General features: G+C 44.6%; 2 long non-coding RNA genes and 1 other non-coding gene across 6 annotated transcripts in view; 2 read left to right on the top strand and 1 right to left on the bottom strand.

Annotated features, from left to right (window-relative positions):
* Positions 1-6,680: 6,680 nt before the first annotated feature.
* LOC124904816 (small nucleolar RNA U13) lies at positions 6,681-6,785 on the top strand. Its single transcript, XR_007067412.1, has one exon. It is a non-coding gene; the product is annotated as a small nucleolar RNA U13 (small nucleolar RNA).
* Positions 6,786-7,167: 382 nt separating this feature from the next.
* Positions 7,168-26,444, bottom strand: part of LOC105376819 (uncharacterized) — a 47,268-nt gene continuing 27,991 nt past the window's right edge. Inside the window, exons 2-4 of one of the 4 annotated variants that reach the window (XR_947020.3) lie at positions 20,731-20,834; positions 12,567-12,827; positions 7,168-7,454 (exon numbers count right to left, since the gene is read on the bottom strand). This is a non-coding gene — a long non-coding RNA (uncharacterized LOC105376819). Of the gene's footprint in view, positions 7,455-12,566; positions 12,828-20,730; positions 20,835-25,873; positions 26,004-26,444 lie in introns of those variants that run through there. The other 3 variants (XR_947019.1, XR_001737920.2, XR_007065522.1) reach the window with 3 other exon arrangements.
* On the top strand, positions 9,110-26,415 carry LOC105376817 (uncharacterized). The gene is made up of 4 exons (XR_947017.3): positions 9,110-9,290; positions 15,724-15,773; positions 20,811-20,872; positions 26,377-26,415. It is a non-coding gene; the product is annotated as an uncharacterized LOC105376817 (long non-coding RNA).

Here is a 26,444-nt window from a genome sequence, read left to right as displayed (position 1 = left end):
TGGTGGCTCTCAGCACTTTGGGAGGCCGAGGCATGTAGATCACTTGAGCCCAGGAGTTTCAGACCAGCCTGGGCAACATGGTGAAACCTCATCTCTACAAAATACAAAAAATTAGTCAGGCGTGATGGTGCATGCCAGTAGTCCCAGCTACTCAGGAGGCTGAGGTGGGAGGATCACTTGCTGAGCCCAGGAAGTTGACGCTGCAGTGGGCTGTGATCATGCCACTGTACTCTGGCCTGGGCAACAGAGCAAGACTCTGTCTCAAAAAAAAAAAAAAAAGAAAAGAAAAGAAAAAAGAAGAGGCCAGGCAAGGTGGCTCACATCTGTAATCCCACCACTTTGGGAGGCCGAGGCAGGAGGGTCGCTTGAGCTCAGGAGTTCGAGACCAGCTTGGGCAACACAGCGAAAACCTATCTTTACTAAAACTTCAATAGAAATACAAAAATTAGCCAGGCATAGTGACGTGCGCCTACAGTCCCAGCTACTCAGGAGGCTGAGGCTGGAGAATTGCTTGAGTCCGGGAGGTGGAGGTTGCAGTGCGCTGAGATCCCACAACTGCACTCCAGCCTAGGTGATGGGAGTGAAACCTTGTCTCAAATAAAAAAAATTTTTAAAAAAAGGGAGAAGAAGAAAGACAATAGCAAATAAGCAAATGAAAAGATGTTCATCATTGTATGTCATCAGGGAATTGCAAATCAAAACAACAATGAGATATCACTACATATCTGTGAAAACAGCTAAAATCCGAAGCACTGATAATGCAAGTGAGGACGCAGAGCAACAAAAACTTTTTTTTTGAGATGGAGTCTCGCTCTGTCGCCCAGGCTGGAATGCAGTGGCACCATCTGGGCTCACTGCAACCTCTGCTTCCTGGGTTCAAGCGATTCTCCTGCCTCAGCCTCCTGAGTAGCTGGGATTACAGGCGTGCACCACCATGCCTGACTAATTTTTGTATTTTTAGTAGAGATGGGGTTTCACCATGTTGGTCAGGCTGGTCTCGAACTCCTGACCTCATGATCCACCCGCCTTGGCCTCCCAAAGTGCTGGGATGACAGGCATGAGCCATTGCACCTGACCTCAAAAATTTTCATTCATTGCTGTTGGGTATACAAATGGTACAGACAATTTGGAGGACAACTTGGCAGTTTCTTACAAAGCTAAACATAGTCTTACCATATGATACAGCAATCACACTGCTAGGTATTTACTCAAATATGGTGAAAACATGTCCACACAAAAACCTGCACATGAATAGCAGCTTTATTCATAATCGCCAAAACTCGGAAGCAACCAAGATGTCCTTTGACAGGTAAAGAGATGAACAAACTGGCACATCCACACAATGGAATATTAATTCAGTGATAAAAATAAATGAGCTACTGGCCGGGCGCAGTGGCTCATGCCTGTAATCCCAGAGCTTTGGGAGGCCAAGGTGGGCGGATCACCTGAAGTCAGAAGTTCGAGACCAGCCTGGGTAACATGGCAAAACACTGTCTCTACAAAAAATACAAAAACTAGCCAGATATGGTGGTGTGCACCTATAGCCCCAGCTACTTGGGAGGTCGAGGTGGGAGAATGGCTTGAGCCCAGGAGGCGGAGGTTGCAGTGAGCTGAGATCTCACCACTGCACTCCTGTCTGGGTGACAGAGCAAGACCTTGTCCCGCTGGGTGCGGTGGCTCACGCCTGTAATTCCAGCACTTTGGGAGGCCAAGGCCGGGGTGGGGAGGGGCGGATCACCTGAGTTCGGAAGTTCGAGACCAGCCTGACCAACATGGAGAAACCCCATCTCTACTAAAAATACAAAATTAGCCGAGCGTGATGGTACACACCTGTAATCTCAGCTACTCGGGAGGCTGAGGCAGGAGAATATCTTGAACCCAGGAGGCAGAGGTTGCAGTGAGCAGAGATCACGCCACTGCACTCCAGCCTGGGCAACAAGAGCAAGACTCCGTCTCAAAAAAAAAAAAAAATATATATATATATATATACACACACATATTATATATAAAATTAGCTGAGAGTGGTGGTGCGTGCCTGTAATACCAGCAATTCGGGAGGCTGAGGCAAGAGAATCGCTTGAACCCAGGAGGCGGAGGTTGCTGTGAGCCGAGATCGCACCACTGCACTCCAGCCTAGGCGATAGAGTGAGACTGTCTCAAAAAATAAAAAGAAAGAAAGAAAAAAAGAAATTATGTTCCTTCTGCCTCACATCCAATTGATAGCTTGGCTGGGAATAAAATTCTATGTTAATGATATTTTTCACTCTTAATAAATTCCCTTTCTAATTAAGTCAACTAGAGCTGACTTTTGAGTATTTTGAAGATACCATTTGTTGTTGTTTTTTGCCTTCTAGTTTCTAATGTTATTATTTAGAAGTTCAAGGCCATTCTAATTCACATATTTTTTAAAAAACAATTTTATTGATGTATAATTAATACACCCCAAGTCTTTTTTTTTTTTTTTTTTTTTTTTTGAGACAGGATCTCACTGTGTTACCCAGGCTGGAGTGCAGTGGTGCAATCACAGCTCAACTGCATCCTCCACCTCCCAGGCTCAAGTGATCCTCCCATCTCAGCCTCCCCAGTAGTTGTGACCACAGGTGTGAGCTACCATGCTTGGCTAATTTTTGTTTTTGTTTTTGTAGAGATGGGGTTTCCCCATGTTGCCCGGTCTGATGTTTGAAGTCCTAGGCTCAAGCGATCCACCTACCACGGCCCAAAGTGCCAGGATTATAGGCATAAGTCAGCGCACCTAGCCATACCCCAAGTCTTTAGATGTGGCATTCTTTTAGGTTTCCTCCTCTCTCTCTCTGAAATCTTGTTAGGTTCTTCTCTACCTCTCCTACCTCTAGCCCAATGGCCACAAGTTTCCTGGGGCTATTCCTCCCACATCAAAACACAGTTCTCCATACTCCGTAAGGTTTAAGGAATCATAATTATAGAATGTCCCTGCTTCTTTCATTCAGCCAGTGATTTATTGAGCATGTACTGGACAATTGCTGGACAATTGGCTGAACTGTCTTCTAAGTCTGGGTTTATAATGGGTCAAAAACACAGGGCTCCTAACCTCAGTGGAGCTTATATTACAGCAAAGAAATTTTGCTACTTTTTTTTCTTTTTTTTGCGATAGAGTTTCATTCTTGTTGCCCAGGCTGGAGTGCAGTGGCACAATCATGGCTCACTACAGCTTTGATCTCCTGGGCTCAAGTGATTCTCCCATCTCAGCCTCCTGTGTAGCTTGGACTACAGGTGTGCACCCCACAGGCCTGGCTAATTTTGTTCATTTTTTTTTTGTAAAGATGGGGTCTCACTATGTTGCCCAGGCTGGTCTTGAACTCCTGGACTCAAGTGATTCTCAAGCCTTGGCCTCCCAAAGTGCTGGGATTACAGGCGTAAGCCACCACATCTGGCCTGACATACTATATTTGTTTACTTGTCATGTTTACGGTCTGTCTTTCTTCATTAGCATGTAAGTTTCCCAGTGGCAGGGATTTGCATGCCTTTCATTCCTGTCTCTTCAGCACCAAGTACGGTGTGTGGCACATAGTAGGTGTTTCATAAGCACTTGCTGAGTGAATAGGTAGCTCTGTGTGGGAAATAGTTTGGTATATTTGTGCAACAGTAGAAGGCCAGTGGATGGGACAAGGGAGCAAGTCAGTGGGGCAGGAGGGGAGCTTGGAGGGGTGGTCAGGGGGCAGACACACAGGCTGCTAGGCCATGGAAATGAGGGTGGATTTAAACAATAATAGAAGACCTTGCAGGGGTTTTAAGTAGCAGAGTGACATTATCTAATTTGTATTTTTAAAGGGTCACAATGGCTGCCTTGTTAGGCCCGAATGTAGGGGTCCAGAGTAGTAAGTAAGGGGTAGAAAAGAATCAACCAGCCAGGCATGGTGGCTCACACCTGTAATCCCAGCTACTCAGGAGACCAAGGTGGGAGGATCGTTTGAGGCTGAGAGTTTGAGAACAGCCTAGGCAACACAGTGACACCTTGTTTCTAAAAAAAAAAATAATAATTAAAATATTAGCCAGGCATGGTGGTGGCATGCACTTGTAGTCCCAACTACTCAAGAGGTTGAAGTGGGAGAATCGCTTGAGTCTAGGAGCTCAAGGCTGCAGTGAGCCATGATTGCACCACTGTACTCCAGCCTGGGTGCCAGAGTAAGACCCTGTCTCAAAAAAAAAAAAAAAAAAGAAAGGAAAGGAAAAGGGCAGGCACAATGGCTCACACCTGTAATCCTAGCACTTTGGGAGGCCAAGAAGGGAGGATTACTTCGGCCAAAGAAGGAGGATCATTTGAGCCCAGGAGTTCAATACCAGCCTGGGCAACATAGTAAGACCTTGTCTCTGTAAGATAAAATAAAATAAAAAAAGAAAGAGAAATTAAAAGAAAAGAGCCACCCAGTTAGGAAGCTACTGCAGTAGTCTAGGCAAGAAAAGATGTTGGCTGAGATCCAGGTGAGGGCAAGAGCAGATGGAGAGAAGCAGCCAGAATGCAGACTCCACAAGAAATCTGCACTTCATCCTGTCGCGGGATCCTCGCCACACACTGGGTGTGGGTTTATAGACCTCTTTTAGTGATACCTCTTCTAATATCAAATCCAGTTTGGCAGTTAGTGTTCCAGCTAGACTCTACAAGGGATCGGAGGAGGCTAAATTAGATCCTGCCAGCCAGGTCTCAGAAGCTATGACCAAGAATGCAGAGGAATCCCTGCCCCAGCCTTCAAAGTCCTCCAGCCAGGAAATACCCTTCCCTGTACTTGGCTCCTGGCTGATAAGCCTTGTTATTCCCTGGATCTATCCCATCCTCTCCATCTCCAAGGCCACTTCCAGACCCTCATCACACTTGGCTGCACAAGTGATGGCAGCGTCCCTCTTCACTGGCCTCTCTGCTTCCAGTCTTCAAATCCACCCTCCCCAGGGTTGACTGAATGAACATCCTAAAACCCAAACCTAATGGAGTCCCTTTTCTGCTCAAAACCTTTCAGTGACTGCCCATCACGTCCAAGATGAAACGCTAGCTCTGTATCGTGGGATGCAAGACTCTCCTCCGCTGGACACTTCCTTCTCCTCCAGCTACGCTTCCTGCCCCTCCCACTTCACTCCCACTTGACCCCCAGCCTCACCCAGCACTTGGTGCTCCTCCTTCCACTTCCTGCCTTGCTGGTGAGGCCTGGCTTAGTCTCTTCCCTCTGCCTAGGTAACTGTTCCCAGCCTCTGTTGTGTGGTTACTTCTCTCGCCTCACAATTAGCTCAGGAAACACTGCCTCCAAGAGTCCAGGAACCCTCCCTTGGCCTCCCCTGTCTTGTGCCCCCAGTTCACCTGGCGTGGCAGTACACCTCTGCTGCTGCTCTGGGGTTTTTTTGTTTTTTATTTTTTTGAGACAGGTTCTCATTCTGGTCGCCCTGGCTGGAGTGCAGTGGTGCAATCTCAGCTCACCTCAGCCTTGACCTCCCGGGCTCAAGCGATCCTCCTCAGCCTCCCAAGTAGCTGGGACTACAGGCGTGTGCCACCATGCCCAACTAATTTCTGTATTTTTTTTTTTTGAGACAGGGTCTTGCCATGTTGCCCAGGCTGGTCTCAAACTCCTGGGCTCAAGCAATCTGCCCGCATCAGCCTCCCAAAGTGCTGGGATTACAGGCAAGAGCCGCTGCACCTGGCCAAGTGAATGCAGCAGCTACTGCTCTGAACTGTTGTTACTAATTGGTTTGCTTGTCTTCCCCAACTGGACCATGAACTCCCCAAGGGCAAGGACCTTGGCTACTCATCTTTGTGTGCTGGCCTTGTCTACAGTGACTGGTGCATAGCACATGCTTGGTTAAAGACTGTTGAACTGGCTGGCCTTAGCCACACCGCCATACCCTTAGGACAGCCTGGCTAAGGTCCTCGTGGTGAAACAGAGAGAGCTAGCCAGCCCATCTTATTTATTTATTTATTTTATTTTTATTACAGATGGGGTTTCACCATGTTGGTCAAGCTGGTCTCAAACTCCTGGCCTCAAGTGATCCGCCTGTCTTGGCCTCCCAAAGTGCTGGGATTACAGGCATGAGCCACTGCACCTGGCCAGCTTGTCTTTTTCAGCCCTGAGCTGATGAGGCTGTCAAATGTCAACCTCAACGCTCTTCCCAGCCTCTCTTTTCCACCTCAGGCAGAGTTTGTCTTCAGATGCAAAGGCCTATAAGTCTTCTCTCCAGTTAGTGCTGAGACTTCGCCAGCCACAGAAGGGATTCTGACATCGCATCCAAATAAGGTGAAAGGATTAGCTGTTGTTAAAACAGTGTGAGAGCTGTGAGTAAGGAAATATTCTCTCTGAGATGGGCCCTGCTGAAATATACAACACGAGCCTTCCAAATATGAGCTACTGACTGGAAAGAAGCCTGCTTGTTATGGAGCCTGAATCTTCCTCCCCAGCCAGGGATCTGGTGATGCCAATCCCGCTGAGGTCTGGTGTTCATCGGAGGTCAGGATGCAGCCCACCTGAGACCTTAAGGGGTAGGGGGTCCTTCATTAGTTAGCAGGCATGGTTTAGTAACAGTAACATCACCAATAATGTGTGGGATTCAGGGTTTCTGAATAGTGCTAACATAATATGGAGAATGAACAGTCCGAAGTCTCCATGAGGAAGGATTGATAGAAAAGAATTCGTTCAACAACCTTTTATCAAGAATAGTCATATAAGATCCTTTTGCAGTTCATGAGCATGATGATTGGGTGTTTATGTGTATGTGTGAGATCTGCCACTCTCTGAACCTTGTTACAACATTGTCACATTACCCGTCTAACCTGAAAAAAAAAAAAAAGTCATATATGGGCCAGGCATGGTGGCTCACACCTGTAATCCCAGCACTTTGGGAGGCCAAGGTGGGCAGATTGCTTGAGTTCAGGAGTTCAAGACCAGTCTGGGCAACATAAGGAGACCCTGTCTCTACCAAAAAATATAAAAAATTAGCCACGGGTAGTGGTGCACAACTGTGGTCCCAGCTACTCAGGTGGCTGAGGCAAGAGTATCGCTTGAACCTGGGAGGTTGAGGCTGCAGTGAGCTGTGATCATGCCACTGCACTCCAACCTGGGTGGCAGAGTGAGACCCTGTCTCAAAAAGAAAAAAAAAAGTCATACAAAATGTATAACTTATCTATTGCTGTGTAACAAATTATCCCTAAGCACAGCAGCTTAAAGCAATATTTATTTATCTCACAGTTTCTGTGGGTCAGGAAATTGGGAGTGGTTCTGCTGAGTGGTTCTTATTCCTGGTTGCATGAGAGTTTGCAGTCAAATCATCAGCTGGGGCTGCCATCATCTGAAGGCTTGACTGGGGCTGGAGGACCTGCCTCCATGATGGCTCATTCACACAGCTATTGGCAGAAGGTCTCAGTTCCTCATGACATGACCCCTCGCTAGAGCTGCTTGAGAGTGCTCATGACATGGCAGCAGCCCTCTGCAGGAGCAGGCAATCTGAGAGAGAGAGAGAGAGACCAAGACAGAAGCCTCAAGGTCTTTTGTGACCTTGGTCTTGGAAGTTGTACACTGTCACTTCCACTTTATTCTGTTTGTTACAAATGAGTTACTAAATTCAGTTCACAGTCAAGAGGAAGGGAAATAGGGTCCACCTTTTGAAGGAAGTGTCAAATTGTGGACATATCTTAAACCACCTCATCAAATCAAAAAGAAACAAGAAACCTGAAAGTCTTGAGGCTGCTAAAACTCCTGCTGCCATTAGGACAATGGGAATTTAGTATGAAGAAAAGAGTCCTAGATTGACAGTGATAGCAAGATTCATTCACTAATTCATCCATCCATTCATTCATCCACTCATTCAACAGCTATTAATTGACCATTACTGTGTGCAGTTGGAAAACTCTATTATATGCTACAGGGCTCAAGAACAAACACCATTATAATTAAAATAACCATTGCTAGCTGGGCACAGTGGTTCATGTCTGTAATCCCAGCACTGGGAGGCCAAGGCGGAAGGATCGCTTGAGCTCAGGAGTTTGCGACCAGCCTGGGCAACATGGTGAAATCCTATCTCTACAAAAAATAAAAAAATTACCCAGATGTAGTGGTGTGTGCCTGTAGTCCCAGCTACTAGGGAGACTGAGGTGGGAGGACCATGAGCCTCGGAGGCAGAGGCTTCAGTGAGCCAAGATTGCATCACTGCACTCCAGCCTGGGTGACAAAGTGAGATCCTGTCTCAATAATAATAATAATAATAATAACAACAACAATTGCTGGCCTTTATCTAGCACTTACTGTGTGCCCAGTACTACAAAGATCTTTGGATTTAATTATCTCATTTAATTATCCCAATAACCCTTTGAGGTGGGGGCTGTTATTATTCCCCATTTACAAATGAGAAACCTTAGAAAGGGAAGGTCATGTACTTTCAAGGGGTAGAACCCGTGATGTGAATCTTAGTCTGTTTGGGCTGCTATAACAAAAAAACACCATCAACTGCATGGCTTATAATCAACAACCACTTACTTCTCACAGTTCCAGTGGCTGTGACATCAGCAAATTCAGTATCTGATAAGGGCCTACTTTCTGGTTCACAGATAGCATCTCCTCACTGTGTCCTCACGTAGTAGAAGGGGTGAGGGGTCTCTCTAGAGCCTCTTTTACAAAGGTACTAATCACATTCATGAGGGCTCACCCTTATGACCTGTCACCTCCAAAAGGCCCCACCTCCTAATACCATCACTTTGGGGGTTAGGATTTCAATGTATGAATTTGGGAGGGGTGCAGATCACAGACATCCAGGCCATGGCAGAACCAAAGGACTCTGACCTGAAAGTCTGTATGCTTACACCATAGAGTGTTCTAGTAATAACAGTGACAGTTATTATTACTGTTTTAATGATGGATTCCTGTTACCTAGCTGACAACTCTGAGGCTCAGAGAGCATGAGTGAATTGTCCAACGTTGTTTTTGGCAGAGCCGAGCTGCAAAGCCAGGTCCCAAGAGTGCCGAGTCTGTGCTCTTTCTTCTACACTTGCTTAAAATGGAATCCTTTTTGTCCTGCTTCCTGCAGAAACAGAGCTAGATGGAAAAGGGCCCAGGAGACTGGGGAGGAGCGTGGGAAGGGGGGAAATTATTGCTGGTGCCTGGAAGTTTTCACAAGCGTGGATTTCCCCTGGTTGGTTGAAGACTAGATCAGAATCTCTCCAGAGTCTGCTGTGAAGATGCTGTGGAATTCCTGGTGTGTCTGATGAGGTGTTGCTGCGCCGAGGCTGTCAGACAGCTGGCTCTCTGAGAAAACCTCCAGACCCTGTTGCTGCCCCAAGGAATGAGGTCAGATGTAGCTAAATGTTATGGAGCCTTTGCTGAGCGTCAGGCACGGGGTTTAGGTGTGCACATTTACTCAGTGTCTTCATGGCCATACACAAGTCAATACTCTTTATTATTCCCATCTTACAGAGGGGGAAACTGAGACACAAAAAGGACAACTTGGGCCAGGCGCAGTGGCTCACGCCTGTAATCCCAGCACTTTGGAAGTCCGAGGTGGGTGGATCACTTGAGATCAGGTGTTCGAGAACAGCCTGGCCAACATGGTGAAACCCCATCTCTACCAAAAATACAAATATTAGCCAGGCATGGTGGCGCATGCCTACAATCCCAGCTACTTGGGAGGCTGAGACAGGAGAATCACTTGCACCTGGGAGGCAGAGGTTGCAGTGAGTCGAGATCGCGTCACTGCACTCCAGCCTGGTCTCTGTCTCAAAAAAAAAAAAAAAAAAAAGAGAGAGAAAATACAAAACGGACGACTTGTCTGGGTGCGCATAGATATATGGTCTTCAAGCAGGTTTGCTGGGGTGCGGAGAGCTGGTAAACTGTAACAGTTTAAGCCCGGGGCCTGCAGTGAGGGGGCCTGATTTCATGGACCCTAGGCAATCTTGCCTCTGTGGGCCCCTTCCCTCCATAAAAAAATTTAACTTTATATTTCACGACTATGTTGGAATGAAGTTAAATCTAATCCAGACTGAAGTCACTATTTTTAAAATGTATTTTTTTATTTTTTAATTTTAAAAAATGTAATAATAGAGATGAGGTTTCACTATGTTGCCCAGGCTGGTCTCAACCTCCTGGACTCAAGTGATCCTTCTGCTTTGGTTTCCCAAAGTGCTGGGATTATGGGTGTGAGCCACTGTGCCTTGCTGAATTCATTATTATATGCTCATTATTATTATATTTATGTTTTTCTTCCAAGTTTAAAACAAATTAAAATAAAACAATGTTATTAGAATAAAATAAAGCCTCATGGGCCCTGTGCTTGCGGTGTCTGATGGGGAAGTTGGCTTTGTGGGATGAGTCCTGCTTCTCCCACGTGCTGACTGTGTGACCTTAGCCAACTTCACCTCTCTGTGCCTCACTTTATGTAATGTGGGAATAAATGGTAGACTATATGGTATGGGGTGATTATGAGGATGAAATGAACAATGTATGTAAAATGCTCAGTACAGTGCCTGCCATAAATGAAAATGCTCAATCAATTAATAAATATTAGTTGATATTTTTTGTTTTTTAGTAACTTGTATTGGTCCCACAGCTAGCAAGTGGTAGAGCTAAGAGTGTACCCTAGGTTTAACTGACTATCAAATCTCTGATCTAACCTCCTCAAAGCGGTGACAGAATAAGTGGCAGAACAGAGCTGAGAATTGCGCTACAGTGAATCTGTTCCCCAACTAAAATACAGTCAACACATTGTAAATTTTCCAGTAGGGTCTTCATATATATATATATATATATATATATATATATATATATATATATGCATACACATATGCACATACACACACATATCTCTCCCTATGAAGTAGACATTATTTATTTAAATTTTATGTAACATATATTTTACCACTATATATATGACCACTATTTTATATATATATATATACCCACTATATATATTTTTTCATATTTTTTATTTTATTTTTTGTGACAAAGTCTTGCACTGTCACCCAGGCTGGAGTGCAGTGGCACAATCTCAGCTCACTGCAACCTCCACCTCCTGGGTTCATGCGATTCTCCTCCCTCAGCCTCCCGAGTAGCTGGGATTATAGGTGCACACCACCAAACCTGGCTAATTTTTTGTATTTTTTTTTTTTTTTTTTTTTTAGTAGAGACGAGGTTTCACTATGTTGGCCAGACTGGTCTCAAACTCCTGATCTCAGGTGATCCATCCACCTCAGCCTCCCAAAGTACTGGGATTACAGGCATGAACCACTGCTCCCGGCCCACTGTATATATTTTACCATTGTATATATACACCACATACACACACATATATCTCCCCATGAAGTAGACATTATTTATTTAAATTTTGTTATATTTATTTTATGACTATATATACAGCCACCTTTTAATATATATAAGTATATATTTTACCACTATATATTTATATATAAACATACATATACCTAGTGATAAAAATATAATAATATAATATGTATAAATATATACATGTTATATATAATATGTATACATATATAATATGTGTATATACACATTATGTGTATATATAATATATAATGCATAATACATAGTCTGTATATATACATATTATATATACATTATATACATATCAATTATATAATATTCATGTAATATAATTTATATTTATTATTGAATAATATGTATTAATTTATGATATGTACATATTAATATGTATACTAATATGTATATACATTGCATAAATACATAATATGTATATATTATAATATGTGTATATCTACATATGTGTATATGTATTTACATATATGCGTAAAATATTTATATATCATGAATATTTTAATATGTATATATTAATATATGTATGCTATAATACCAAAATTATTTATAAATCTATATTTATATAATCTATAACATAAAATTTACTATTTCAACCATTTTTTAGTGTATAATTCAGTGGTATTAAGTAGATTCACATTGCTTGCACTATTTATCTCCAGAACTTTTTTATCTTTCAAAACTGAAACTCTGTACCCATTAAAAAATAATTCCTCATTCCATCCTCCCTTCAGCCCCTAGTAACTGCTCTTCTAGTTTGTCTCTATGAGTTTGACTGATCCAAGTACATCATATAAGTTTCATCCTAAGTCATCAAAATCTGTTGTGTATTTTACACTTACAGCATATCTCAGTTTGGCCTCACCATATATTTTGAGTGCTCAGTAGCCACATGTGGCCACCATATTGGACAGCACAGGGCTATAGGTTGGGTGATCAGGATTCTGGGGACACTCCATATCCAGGATAACCTTTACTACTACAATTCTCTCCCATATTCCCCGTGAATATGTGAGTTGAGGTTAGAAAAATATACTCCTCCTGAGATTATGGTGTAGGAGTAGAGTCAAAAGCCTGAAATAAGAGTCCATGGGTTTTAGTTGAAGTGGACTGGAGTGAGCTGCCTGGACTTAGACTTATCGAGGATCTGCAGAAGACATGCCCTCTCCATCGCTCTTCCTACCACCACTCTCACTTGCACCCATGCATGGAGTGCTGGAGGCTGGACAGTGGGATTTCGATTGAGGATGTCTACTATGCTGAAATAAACAAGCAACACACCAGACTATTACTCATAGGCTGACACACTTGAAGACTGAAGGGTATCTTAGGCATCATCCAGCGGAGTGGCTTTGAGCTGGTTTGTGGAGTCACTGGGCTTTAAAAAGATAGAGACGTGGATCCTGGAGTTGAGTGTCTGGGTTTGAATCTTGGCTCTGTGACTTACGAGCTGTGTGACCTTCAGCAAGTTGCTCAACTCCATTGGGCTTCAACTCCCTCATGGAAATTGTGGATCATTATAATGCCCACTTCACAGGGTTACTAAGAAGATTTAAGTAAAATATTAAATTAATGCATGTAATACACTTAGAGCTGAGCTTAAAGTAAATACAATTTAAGTGTTTGTTAAAGAATGACTCAGTGGCTCTACTGAGGGAAAGGCCAGGTCCCTGTTCTCACTACAAGCAGAGAAGCTTTGCTTTTATCTGCTTTTATGTTGGGCTTCCTTGTAAAATGTCATTAAAAGGAAGAACAATGGGTGAACACTCACTCGTGTTGTAATGTAAGCCTGTACTTTACAAATGGGAAACACAACCAGGACAGCTATGTGCTCTGCCTGAGGTCCCACAACTGAGAGGTGGGTAGAACAGGTGCAGAAACCAGGGAAGGGCTGCTTCACTACACTGCGCTGTCTATACTGTGCTGAAAGACTGGAATTTTGGGGTCTTGTTTTCCTAGGGAAGTCTCATACATCACTGGTAACAGCTCAGCTCCATGCCAGCTTGAAAAAAGATGGTATAAATGAGCTTTTTGGCTGGGTGCAGTGGCTCACATCTATAATCCCAGCATTTTGGGAGATTGAGGCAGGCAGATCCCTTGAGTCCAGGAGTTTGAGATCAGCCTGGGCAACATGGTGAAACCCCATCTCTACACAAAAAAAATACAAAAATTAGCCAGGCGTGATGATGTGCGCCTGTAGTTACAGCTACTCAGGAGGCTGAGGTGGAAGAATTGCTTGATCCCAGGAGGTCGAGGCTGCAGTGAGCTGTGATCACACCACTGTGTTCCAGCTTGGGTGACAGAGGGAGAACCTCTCGAAAAAAAAAAAAAAGAAGGAAAAAAAAAAGAGCTCTTTGCTTCTTCATGGCAAAGGTCATTGAAGGTGGTCCCTGGAGGAGTTGCGCTTTCTTGTCCCATGAATGGTGGAGAAGTTTTGTTGTTCTTTTGAGACAAGGCCTCGCTCTGTCACTCAGGCTGGAGTGCAATGGCATGACTACGGCTCACTGCAGCCTCAACCTCATGGGCTCAGGTCAAGCCATCCTCCCACCACAGCATCCTGAATAGCTGGGAGTACAGGGGCGCACCACCACACCTGGCTGATTTTTAAAAATTTTTTTTGTAGAGGTGGGGTCTTGCTGTGCTGCCCAGGCTGGTCTCAAACTCCTGGGCTCCAGTGATCCTCCCGTTTCAACCTCCTAAGGTGCTGGGATTACAGGCATGAGCCACTGCACCCAGCTGGTGGAGAAGATTTTGAGCCTGCTGGATGGTATTTCTGGGTGCTAGAACCTTCCCTAAAGTAGATGACTTTGGGCTCGGCACTCAACATCCTCTCCATCTCTCCTCCGCAGAATAATGGCTGAGAGGCTCAAGGAATTGATGCCACCTCTAGGCCTCTGATTAGTCTAATCAATCACCCACCTTTTTTTTCTTTTTTTTTTTTTTGCTAATGTTTGGTTCAGGGATGGCAGGTCGAGGCCAATGTGGGCCAAAGAGATACTGGAAAATTTTGCTAAGTTCTCAGTCTTTTTGAATGTAAACTAGAAACACATTGTTCTAGTTTCTATGGGAAGTCCTTCTGCAGTCATGAAAAAGACATCCTGAGAACTAGACAATATTTGAAGTAAGAAAGAGAATATCTGGCCTGGTGCGGTGACTGACACCTACAATCCCAGAGCTTTGAGAGACCGAGGGAGGAGGATCCTTTGGGGCTAGGTGTTCGAGACCAACCTAGGCCAACAGAGTGATACCCCTATCTCTAAAAATAAAAATAAAAACAAAAAATTAGCTAGGAGTGATGGTGTGTGCCTGTAGTCCTAGTTACTCAGGAGGCTAAGGCAGGAAGGTTGCTTGGAGTCCAGGAGTTTGAGGCTGTAATGAGCTATAATTGTGTCACTGCACTCTAGCCTGGACAACAGAGCAAGACCCTGTCTCTAAAAAAAATTAAAAAATAAAAAGAGAAAATCCCCCAAAATAGTGTTTCCAGAGTCCTTATCAACCAACTGTAGCCCTGTGCTGTTCAATACGGTGGCCACATGTGGCTACTGAGCACTCAAAATATATGGTGAGGCCAAATTGAGATATGCTGTAAGTGTATAATACACAACAGATTTCAAAAACTTAGGATGAAAAAAGCCAAAATATTTCAATACTTTTTTATGTTGATTACATATTGAAATAATCTTTTGAATATATTGGGTTAGAAGAATTTGTATTAGGCTGGGCGTGGTGGCTCACGCCTGTAATCCCAGCACTTCGGGAGACTGAGGCGGGTGGATCACTTGAGTCAGGAGTTCAAGACCAGCCTGGCCAATATGGTGAAACCCCGTCTCTACCAAAAATACAAAAATTAGCTGGGTGCCGTGGCAGGCGCCTGTAATCCCAGCCACTGGGGAGGCTGAGGCAGGAGAAGCGCTTGAACCCAGGAGGTGGAGGTTGCAGTGAGCCGATATCATGCCATTGCACTCCAGCCTGGGCATCACAGTGAAACTCTGTCTCAAAATAATAATAATAATTAATACTGATTACTAATTTTACTTGTTTCATTTCTTTTCTTCTTCTTCTTCTTTTTATTTTATTTTATTTATTTATTTTTGAGACAGGGTCTCACTCTGTTGCCCTAGCTGGAGTGCAGTGGGGAGAACATGGCTCACTGCAGCCTTGACCTCCTGGGTCAAGCGATCCTTCTGCCTCAGCCTCCTGAGTAGATGAGACCACAGGCGCACACCACTACACCTGGCTAATTTTTAAAATTTTGTAGAGATGGGTTCTTACCATGTTGCCTAGGCTGGTCTCAAACTTCTGGGCTCAAGCAATCCTCCAACCCTGGTCTCCCAAATGCTGGGATTACAGGCATAAGCCACCTCGCCCAGGCTGTTTCTTTTACTTTCATTAATGTGACCTAGAAAATTTTAAATTACATATGCTGCTTTCATTCCAGATTTGTAGTTATGCAAGCCAGGAGAATCCCACTGATTTGCTCTTTTACAGGTAAGTGTGACTTTGAGAACACAGAATTTCCATGCCCTGAAACCAATGTGCTTGGTTATACTAAAGCAAAGCTCAGACATCAAATCTTCCCATTTGCAAATGTGTCACAATGTATTTTTGTGTGTATGTGAGACAGGGTCTCACTGTGTCGCCCAGTCTGGAGTGCAGTGGCACGATCATAGCTCACTGCAGCCTTGACCTCCCAGGCTCAAACAATCCTCCCACCTCAGCCTCCCGAGTAGCTGGAACCACCACTCCTGGCTAATTTTTGTATTTTTCATAGAGATGGGATTTTGCCATGTTGCCCAAGCTGGTCTTGAATTCCTGGGCTCAAGCTATCTGCCTCCCTCAGCCTCCCAAAGTATTGTGGTTGTAAGTGTGAGACGCTGTGCCTGCCCTCTCACCATGCATTTTTAAGAAACAAGATCAGCCAGGCATGGTGGCTCATGCCTGTAATTCCAGCACTCCGGGAGGCCAAGTTGGGTGGATCACCTGAGGTCAGAAGTTCGAGATCAGCCTGGTCCACATGGTGAAACCCTGTCTCTACCAAAAATACAAAAATTAGCCAGGAGTGGTGGTGCACACCTGTAATCCCAGCTACTCTGGAGGCTCAGGCAGGAGAATCGCTGGAACCCAGGAAGCAGAGGTTGCAGTCAGTGAGACTGCACAACTGCACTCCAGCCTGTGAGTCAGAGCAAGACTCCTCTCAAAAAAAAAGAAAAGAAAAAAAAAAGAAACAAGATCCTTTGTTTTAAAAAATAAAAAATAAAACTATGATACCATTAACATATGAAAAAATTCTTAATATCCACTAATGTCTAGTTAGTGTTCAGATTTCTCTGATATTCTTATAAATGTCTCTGTAGGGTTGTTTTGTTCAAATCAGGATACAAACAAAGAATCACTTTTCATCTATCATGATTCCTCTATTTTTTAATGCCATTCATTTATCATGTAGAGGATTGACTAATCTCCTCCTCATGGTGTCTTTTTTTTTTTTTTTGAGACAGAGTCTCGCTCTGTCGCCTGGGCTGGAGTGCAGTGGCGTGATCTCAGCTCACTGCAAGCTCCGCCTCCCAGGTTCACGCCATTCTCCTGCCTCAGCCTCCCAAGTAGCTGGGACTACAGGCACCCGCCACCACACCCAGCTAACTTTTGTATTTTTGTAGAGATGGGGTTTCACCATGGTGGCTAGGCTGGTCTTGAACTCCTGACCTTAGGTGATCCGCCCGCCTTGGCCTCCCAAAGTGCTGGGATTACAGGTGTGAGCCACTGCACCTGGCCTCTCATGGTGTCTTTTAACATGCTCCTCTATCCCCTGTTGTTCATCACATTATCTGATAATTACATTGACAAGATTAATGAGATTCAGCTAGATTTATATTTTTGGCAGGAATACTTTACTGGTGGTGCTGTCTGTAATGGTTAATTTTATCTGTCAACTTGGAGGGCGTGTTTGGATGAGATCAACATTTAAATCTTTGAGTAAGCAGGCGGCCTTCCATAATGTGAGTGGGCCTCATCCAATTAGATGAAGGCCTGAATAGAACAAAAACTCTGGCCTCTGTGAGCAAGGAGGAATTTTCCAGAAGACTGCCTTTGTACTGAAACTATACCACCAGTTCTCCTAGGTCTACAGCCTGCCAGCCCACATTGCAGATTTGGGACTTGCCAGCCTCCATAATTGTATGAGCCAATTTCTTATAATGAATTTCTCTCTCACCCTCTCTTTTTCTCTCTGTTAACATTTGGGTATGTTTCCTTCCCACTTTAAAAAAATTTAACACCGTTGAGATCACTTTACATAATTTTGTCTTCTGCCTTTTAAATTTAATATTATAACAAATTGCATTTCCTCATATTATAAACCTTGTAACCATTATTCCTCTTTTCTAATCATAAAAGTAGGATTATTGTAGGACATTTGACAAATACAAAAAATTGGCTGGATGCAGTGGCTCATGCCGGTAATCCCAGCACTTTAGGAGGCCAAGGTGGGAGGATCACTTGAGCCCGGGAGTTTGAGACCAGCCTGGGCAGCACAGTAAGACCCTATCTCAATTTAAAAAAAAATAAAGAAAAGAAAAAGGAAGAAAAATGTTTAAAAATTTAAGAATGAATAAAAACTCTTCTATAATCCCATCATATATTAATATGTTTTTGTAATACATTGTAGTCTGTGTTCTCTTTGTGGAAATTATATTATAGTATAGCTGGGCATGGTGGGTCATGCTTGTAACCTCAGCACCTCAGGAGACTGAGGTGGGCGGATTGCTTGAGTCCAGGAGGCTGAGGCTGCAGTGAGCTAAGATCATGCCACCGTACTTCAGCCTGGGTAACAGAGCAAGATCTTTCTCAAAAAAATAAAAAAAATTAAAAAAATTAAAAACAAAAATCGGCTGGGCGTAGTGGCTCACGCCTGTAATCCCAGCACTTTGGCAGGCCAAAGCAGGCGGATGACCTGAGGTCAGGAGTTCGAGACCAACCTGGATAACATGGTGAAACCCCATCTCTACTAAAAAATACAAAAAATTTAGCCGGGTGCAGTGGCGCGTGCCTGTAGCCCCAGCTACTTGGGAGGCTGAGTCACGAGAATTGCTTGAACTTGGGAGGCAGAGGTTGCAGTGAGCCAAGATTGTGCCACTGCACTCCAGCCTGGGTGGCAGAGGGAGATTCTGTCTCAAAAAAAAAAAAAAAATGATAGTATAAGAATAAATTTATTCTACTTTTTTCACTGTAACATTATATTAATATGTTGAGCATTTTATACTCCCATATTTTTCCAATTTGATTTTTAGAAGTCTTAATAATAAAGTATTATATTAATATACCATGGATTCTATTAGTACACATATAACCCTATTTTTGAAGTGTGAATGCAATTTTTTAAAGGGTCTATAACATATCATAAGTAGTGGTTCCATAAATCACTTGACCATTCCCTTTAGGAAGACATAATAAATATTAGAAATACCAAATTATTTCTCTTTTCCGCCAATTTCCTGCAAAACTGGCCCATTTATTCAGTTTACCCCCAACCTCTTTCCTTCTAACCCAACATTCCATACTTGCTTGGCTGCGCTTGTCTTAGTGTATAGGATGTATGAACAATCATAGCAGAAGATAAATTGCAAGCTTGCCTAAGACTCTTGAATCTTGGATTTTGTTTTATAGACAATGGAGAATGAGCAAAGACTTGAGTAGCAGAGGGCCTTAAGTAGATTAGATCAGTTTTATCAGAAACATCACTGTGGTAGGAACTGAACAGTAAGTGCAGATGGAGGGCAATAAAGGCAGGAAGTCTAGGTAAAAAGTTTTTCCAACAGTTCAATCAAGAGTTGATGAGGCAGGGCACAGTGGCTCATACTTGTAATCCCAGCACTTTGGGAGGCCAGGTTGGGAGGATTGCTTGATCCCAGGAGTTCGAGACCAGCCTGGGCAACATAGCAGGACCCCATCTCGAAAAGAAAGAAAAGAAAACAAAAAGAGTTGATAAGCAGGAGCATTGAAAATAAAAACGAGGAAGCAGATGAGAGAAAGACCTTGCTGAGAAAGAATGCACAAGGCCGGTCATTGCAATCGTCTGAATGTTTGTGTCATCCCCAAATTAATAGATTGAAATCCTCATCTCCAAGGTGATGGTATTAGGAGGTAGAGCCTTTGGGAGGTGATAAGATAATTAGGGTGGGGGCGCTCATGAATGGGAATGGTACGCTTATAAAAGAGGCCCCAGAGAAACCCCTCACCCCTTCAACCATGTAAAGACACAGTGAGAAGGTGCCTTCTATGAACCAGAAAGTGGGTGCTCACCAGACATTTTGGGATGACATAAACATTCAGATATAGCAATGACCAGCCTTGTGCATTCTTTCTCTGCCAAGATCTTTCTCTCATCTGCTTCCTCGTTTCTATTTTCAATCCTCCTGCTCATCAACTCTTTTTTTTTTTTTTTGAGATGGGTCCCACTATGTTGCCCAGGCTGGTCTCAAACTCCTGCACTAAAGCAATCCTCCCATCTCGGCCTCCCAAAGTGCTGGCATTAAAGGCATGAGCCACTGGACCCAGCCTCATCAACTCTTAATTGAACTGTTGGAAAAACTTCTTACCTAGACTTCCTGCCTTGATTGCCCTCCTACTGTTCAGTTCCTACCAGAGCGATGTTTCTGAATCTGTTGGTACTTTGATCTTCAACTTCCCAGCATTCAGAACTGTGAGAAACACTTTCTATTATAAGCCACCCAGTCTATGGTATTCTGTTATAGCAGCCCAAATAGACAAAGGCAGAAATCAACGAGGAGAGAGGAACGCAGTAGAGAGGTCAACAGTGACTGAGGATGGTTAGGCTCTTCAAGAAAAACCCTGCCCTTACTCCCAGCAACCTCCAGAAAGGCAAACAGGCAGCCTCCACTCCCAGGAAGGTTCCCATCTTATTACAGCAATGGCGCAATCTCGGTTCACTGCAACCTCTGCGTCTCGGGTTCAAGTCATTCTCATGCCTCAGCCTCCCAAGTAGCTGGGATTACAGGTGCCCAATCCTCCCACCTTGGCCTCCCAAAGTGCTGGGATTACAAGTGTAATCAATTTTTGTATTTTTAGTAGAGACGGGGTTTCACCAGGTTGGGCAGGCTGGTCTCAAACTCCTGACCTCAGCTTATCCACCAGCTTCGGCCTCCCAAAGTGCTGGGATTACAGGTGTCAGCCACCATGCCCGGCCTCCCGGCTAATTTCTTAATTTTTTTATAGAGATGGGGTTTTGCCATGTTGCTCAGGCTGGTCTCAAACTCCTACGCTCAAGTGATCTGCCCGCCTCGGCCTGCCAAAGTGCTGGGATTACAGGCATGAGCCACCTTGCCCAGCCCCTCTTTCATTTTCTACCCCTCGACCCTCCTCCAGAGTCTCTGGCTCCATCCAACCACAATCTCAGCCTTTGTGATTGAGGCTAAAGAGATATACTTACATCTTAATAATATGAATAGGTTCTTGTAGATCTTTGGGGAATTATTATGTTGAAAGATCTGCCCTCTCATCTCCTTCCAGGTAGAGGTACCAGAAAAACCCAATCTGCCACATAACCAGAGGGGAAACATATAAAGAATCAGGTTTGAAATTCATGATGCTAATTTCCACCTGACTAGGGCACAGCCTGGTCTGCCCCAGTCACGAAGGGAGGCATGGTTGGACAGGGAGTGGAGTGTTCTTGGCAAAGGGAGATGATGTCAATTGTGGTGATTGGATCTGGAGGCAATACTCTCAGAGTCTGTCTTCCTACCTATAAAGGGGTCTGATATGGTTTGGCTGTGTCCCCACCCAAACGTCATCTTGAATTGTAGCTCCCACAATTTCCATGTGTCTTGGGAAGGACGTGGTGGGAGGTAATTGAATGATGGGACAGGTCTTTCCTGTGCTGTTCTCATGATAGTGAATAAGTCTCACGAGATCTGATAGTTTTATAAAGGGAAGTTTCCCTGCACAAGTTCTCTCTCTTGCCTACCACCATGTAAGACGTCCCTTGCTCTTCTGCTATGATTGTGAGGCCTCCTCAGCCATGTGGAACTGTGAGTCAATTAAACCTCTTTCCTTTATAAATTACCCAGCCTTGGGTATGTCTTTATTAGCAGTGTGAGAACTGACTAATACAGGGTCTAAGTATTACCAGTATTGGAACTATTCCTGAAGGCAAACTTCCTTTTCAAGGTCAAGTTCTTCTTGGGTAGAGTGTAGTGGTATAATGATAGCTCACTCTACAGCCTTGACCTCCTGGGCTCAAGCACTCCTCCCACCTCAGCCTCCCAAGTAGATAGGACTACAGCTGTGCACTACCACACCTAGCTATATTTTTATTTTTTGTAGAGATGAGGTCTTGCTATGCTGCCCAGGCTGATGTTTAATTATTGGCCTCAAGCAATCCCTTGGCCTCCCAACATGTTGGGATTACAGATGTGAGCCACCACACCCAGCCTAGTTCTGCTTTCTGATTCAAGCAGTTGTCATCTTCTTTGCCAAGAAGCTGTGTCTGGGTTCCTTGGCCAGGCCTCTCCTTTGCTTCATTCTTCATCAAGGTGTCTATTGGTGGCAAACTTCCTTTGCTCTGGCTTCAAGTTTCCATGTGGCAGGAGGTCCATCAGAGTAACATATTAGCTGCTCTTGGTCCCCTCCCTTACTGTTTCCCATGGGAGGAAGAATAACACTCTGGTGGGTGTGGGAGAAGGAACTGGGCATGCTCCACTGAGTTCCTTCTTTCTGTTCTTTTTGCCAACACACCTTCTCTTCTGTTCCTCCATGCCTTAAGTCCTACAGGGCCAGGCTCTACCTCTGAAGCATAGGTCTGCTCACTTCAGTGCTGGGTAGTAAAGCACCAAGCACTCAAACAGGGTGGCTAAGTCTGCTTAACTCTAGGGTGAGGAATTAGAAGCTCCTTAGTTGACTGGATGCAGTGGCTGTAATCCCAGCATGTTGGGAGGCTGAGGTGAGAGGATTGTTTGAGCCCAAGAGTTCAAGACCAGCCTGGGCAACATAGTGAGAGCCCACCTGATATGGTTTGGATTTGTGTCCCCACCCAAATCTCATGTGGAATTGTAATCCCCAGTGTTGGAGGAGGGGCCTGGTGGGAGGGTGAGTGGATCCTGGGGGCGAAGTTCCCCCTTGTTGTTCTTGTGATAGTGAGCGAGTTCTTATGAGATTTGGTTGTTTAAAAGGTGTGTAGCACTTCCTGCTTTGCCCTCTTCCTCCTACTCCAGCCATGTAAGACTTGCCTGCTTTCCCTCACCTTCCTGAGGCCTCCCCAGCCATGGTTCCTGGTCAGCCTGTGGAACCATGAACCAATTAAACCTCTTTTCTTAAGGCTGGGCACAGTGGCTCATATCTGCATTCTCAACACTTTGGGAAGCCGAGGCAGGTGGATCACTTGAGGCCAGGAGTTTGAGACCAGCCTGGCCAACATGGTAAAACCCCATCTGTACTAAAAATACAAAGATTAGCCAGGTGTGGCAGTGCGCACCTGTAGTCCCAGCTACTCAGGAGGCTGAGGCAGGAGAATCTCTTGAACCTGGGAAGCTAGGGTTGCAGTGAGCCGAGATCACGCCATTGCACTTCAGCCTGGGTGACAGAACGCGACTCCTCTCAAAAAATAAAATAAAATAAAATAAAATAAAACTTGTTAAAAAATAAATTACGCAGTCTCAGGTAGTTTTTTGTTTTTTTTTTTTTTTTTTTTTTTTTTTTTTGGAGATGGAGTGTCGCTCTGTCACCCAGGCTGGAGTGCAGTGGCATGATCTCAGCTCACTGCAACCTCTGCCTCCTGAGTTCAAGTGATTCTCCTGTCTCAGCCTCCAAAGTAGCTGGGACTACAGGCACCCACCTGGCTAATTTTTGTATTTTTAGTAGAGATGGGGTTTCACCATATTGGTCAGTCTGGTCTCGAATTCCTGACCTCAGGTGATCTGCCCACCTCAGCCTCCCAAAACTTGAATTACATGCGTGAGCCACCGCACCCAGCCCAGTAGTTCTTTATAGCAGTGCAAGAACAAACTAATATGCCATCTCTACCAAGAATAATTTTTAAAATTAGCTGGGCATGGTGGCATGTGCTTGTGGTCCAAGCTACTTGGGAGGCTGAGATGGGAGGATTGCTTGAGCCTGGGAGGTCAAGGCGGCAGTGAGCCATTATCACACCACTGCACTCCAGCTTGGGCAACAGAGCCAGACTCTGTCTCAAAAAAAAAAAAAAAAGAAGAGGAAGAAGCAGCAGCAGCAGCTCTTTACCACACACCTAAAACAAATCAAATATCTCCAAAATCAGTTCACTGGAAATCAAGTGATATTATCATCCCCACCTACTTGGTTCTTGTGTCTTCCTTTCATTTTGTGCCAAATTCAAGCAGGAAAAAGTGGCATGTTCCTTTTTTTTTTGAGACAAGTCTCGCTCTTATCCCCCAGGCTTGAGTGCAATGGCTCGATCTCAGCTCACTGCAACCTCCGCCTCCCAGGTTCAAACAATTCTCCTGCCTCTGCCTCCCAAGTAGCTGGGATTAAGGCGCCTGCCACCACGCCCAGCTAATTTTTGTATTTTTTAATAGAGACAGGGTTTCACCATGTTGGCCAGGCTGGTCTCGAACTCCTGACCTCAGGTGATCTGCCCGCCTTGGCCTCCCAAAGTGCTGGGATTACAGGCGTGAGCCACTGCGCCCGGCCAAAAGTGGCATGTTCTTTACTGTGCTTTCCCCAAACCCTAGCAGTCTCAGTAGAGGCACATCTAAGCAGCCTACAATTAAATTAGAGAACTGGACCTCCCAACAAATAGAAATAACACATAATTCATTTTAAGTCTAACAGCAAATAGAGACAACACATAATTCATTATAAGTCTAGCAGTGAAGTGATGGGATTTCAAAAAAAGTTATGTTCTTTCCATCTGTAGCTAAAATATTTACACGGGGCCCTGGTCATATGCAAGTGGTGGTTTACAGAGCACAGCTTGTTCAAACCAAACAGTTGCTCTGTTCCCACTTTTGGAAACTTGTCAAGGAATCAGTGTTTACTTAGACAACTCGGGCCCCAAGAGGCCCTTGTGTAGACTGAATTCAATCCAAGGAGAAACCAAGGCCCGGGAACATTCCTCCTTCTCCCCTGACCATTGAACCGCAGACCTCTCAGTTCTCCAGGGCCCTCTCGAAGGCATCCGGTTGAGCCTCTGGTCAACTGTCCAGTGCCCAGCCTAGACAACGGAGACTAAGTCCTTTTTTAGAATTCCCAGGCTGGGCACAGTGGCTCACACCTGTAATCCCAGCACTTTGGAAGGCCAAGGCGGATGAATCATGAGGTCCGGAGTTCAAGACCAGCCTGGCCAAGATGATGAAACCCAGTCTCTACCAAAAATACAAAAATTAGCCGGGCGTGGGGGTGGGCGCCTGTAATACCAGCTCCTCAGGAGACTGAGGCAGAGAATTGCTTGAACCCAGGAGACAGAGGTTGCAGTGAGCCAAAATCGTGTCACTGCACTCCAGTCTGGGCGACAGAGCGAGACTCAGTCTCAAAAAACAAAAAACAAAACAAAACAAAAAAACACTGAGCACGGTGGCTCACGCCTGTAATCCCAGCACTTTGGGAGGCCGAGGCGGGCGGATCACAAGGTCAGGAGATCACCATCCTGGCTAACATGGTGAAACCCCGTCTCTACTAAAAATACAAAAAATTAGCCGGGAGTCCCAGCTACTTGGGAGGCTGAGGCAGGAGAATAGTGTGAACCCGGGAGGCGGAGCTTGCAGTGAGCCGAGATTGCGCCACTGCACTCCAGCCTGGGCTACAGAGCGAGACTCTGTCTCAACAACAACAACAACGACAACAAGAAGAATTGGCCCCTTCGCGCCCAACCTTTTGAGTAATTGTGTGCGTGAACATCTCATTTATTTAACTCCCAAAGAGAGAGCTTTGGCTTCAGGGCAAAGGATTTGATGTTTAATATGTGGGTGACTTGAATTAGTCTAGAGCATAATTCAGGACATGGGCCCGCTGTGGGAAACTGGCCACAGAGAACCTAGGAAGGTGAAGTCTGAGTGTTCAGGAAACACGATCTGCTATTTCTACCCAAAGCAAGAAAACAAGCCCTATGTTATTGAAGAACAGTGGAGGTCCAAGTGTGAATATCAACAATTGTGCACATAAAAAGCACTTACGGCTGGGCGCGGTGGCTCACACCTGTAATCCCAGCACTTTAGGAGGCCGAGGCAGGTGGATCACTGGAGTTCAGGAGTTGAAGACCAGCCTGAGCAACAAGGTGAAACTGCATCTCTATAAAAAATACAAAAATTAGCCGGGTGTGGTGGCGTGATCCTGTAGTGCCAGCTACTCAGGAGGGAAGATTGTTTGTGCCTCGTAGGTCAAGGCTGTAGTGAGCCATAATTGCACCACTTCACTCCAGCCTGGGTGACAGAGCAAGACCCTATTTCACAAGAAAAAAAAAAAAAAAAAAAGCACATGCCACAGTACCTAGGCTCTGAATAAAATGTAGTAGTAATCGTTATTATTGTTCTCGTTGAGATAACTTGGAAAATTAATGTATTAGTCCATTTTCACACTGCTGTGAAGAACCACTTGAGACTGGGTAATTTTTGAAGAAAAGGGGTTTAATTGACTCACAGTTCTGCAGGCTTAACAGGAATCATGGCTTGGAGGCCTCAGGAAACTTACAATCATGGTGGAAGGTGAAGGGTAAGCAAAGACCCTCTTCGCATGCTGGCAGAAGAGAGAGAACAAAGGGGAAAAGGCCACACACTTTTAAAAATCAGATCTCATAAGAATTCACCCACTATCACAAGAACAGCAAGGGGGAATTCCACCCCCATGATCCAATCACCTCCCACCAGGTCCCTCCCCTGACACGTGGGGATTACAATTCGACATGAGATGTGGGGGAGGACACAGAGCCAAATCATATCAACTAATGAAATTGGCATGTGGGTAGGCCCAGTGGGAATTATACTGACAGAATTAAAGCAGTTAATAGTAGTTTCTGTCTGTCCTATCCTTTTACTTGGTGATTGCCTTTCTCTGATCTTAGGTGGTTTTTTGTTTTGTTTTGTTTTGTTTTGTTTTGTTTTTGAGACAGAGCCTTGCTCTGTCACCCAGGCTGGAGTGCAATGGCGCGATCTCGACTCACTGCAACCTCCGCCTCCT

This window comes from Homo sapiens, chromosome 1, assembly GCF_000001405.40.
Source record: "Homo sapiens chromosome 1, GRCh38.p14 Primary Assembly".
Lineage (NCBI taxonomy): Eukaryota > Metazoa > Chordata > Mammalia > Primates > Hominidae > Homo > Homo sapiens.
Note: the sequence above shows the minus strand (reverse complement) of the source record. Positions and strands in the feature narration are given on the sequence as shown.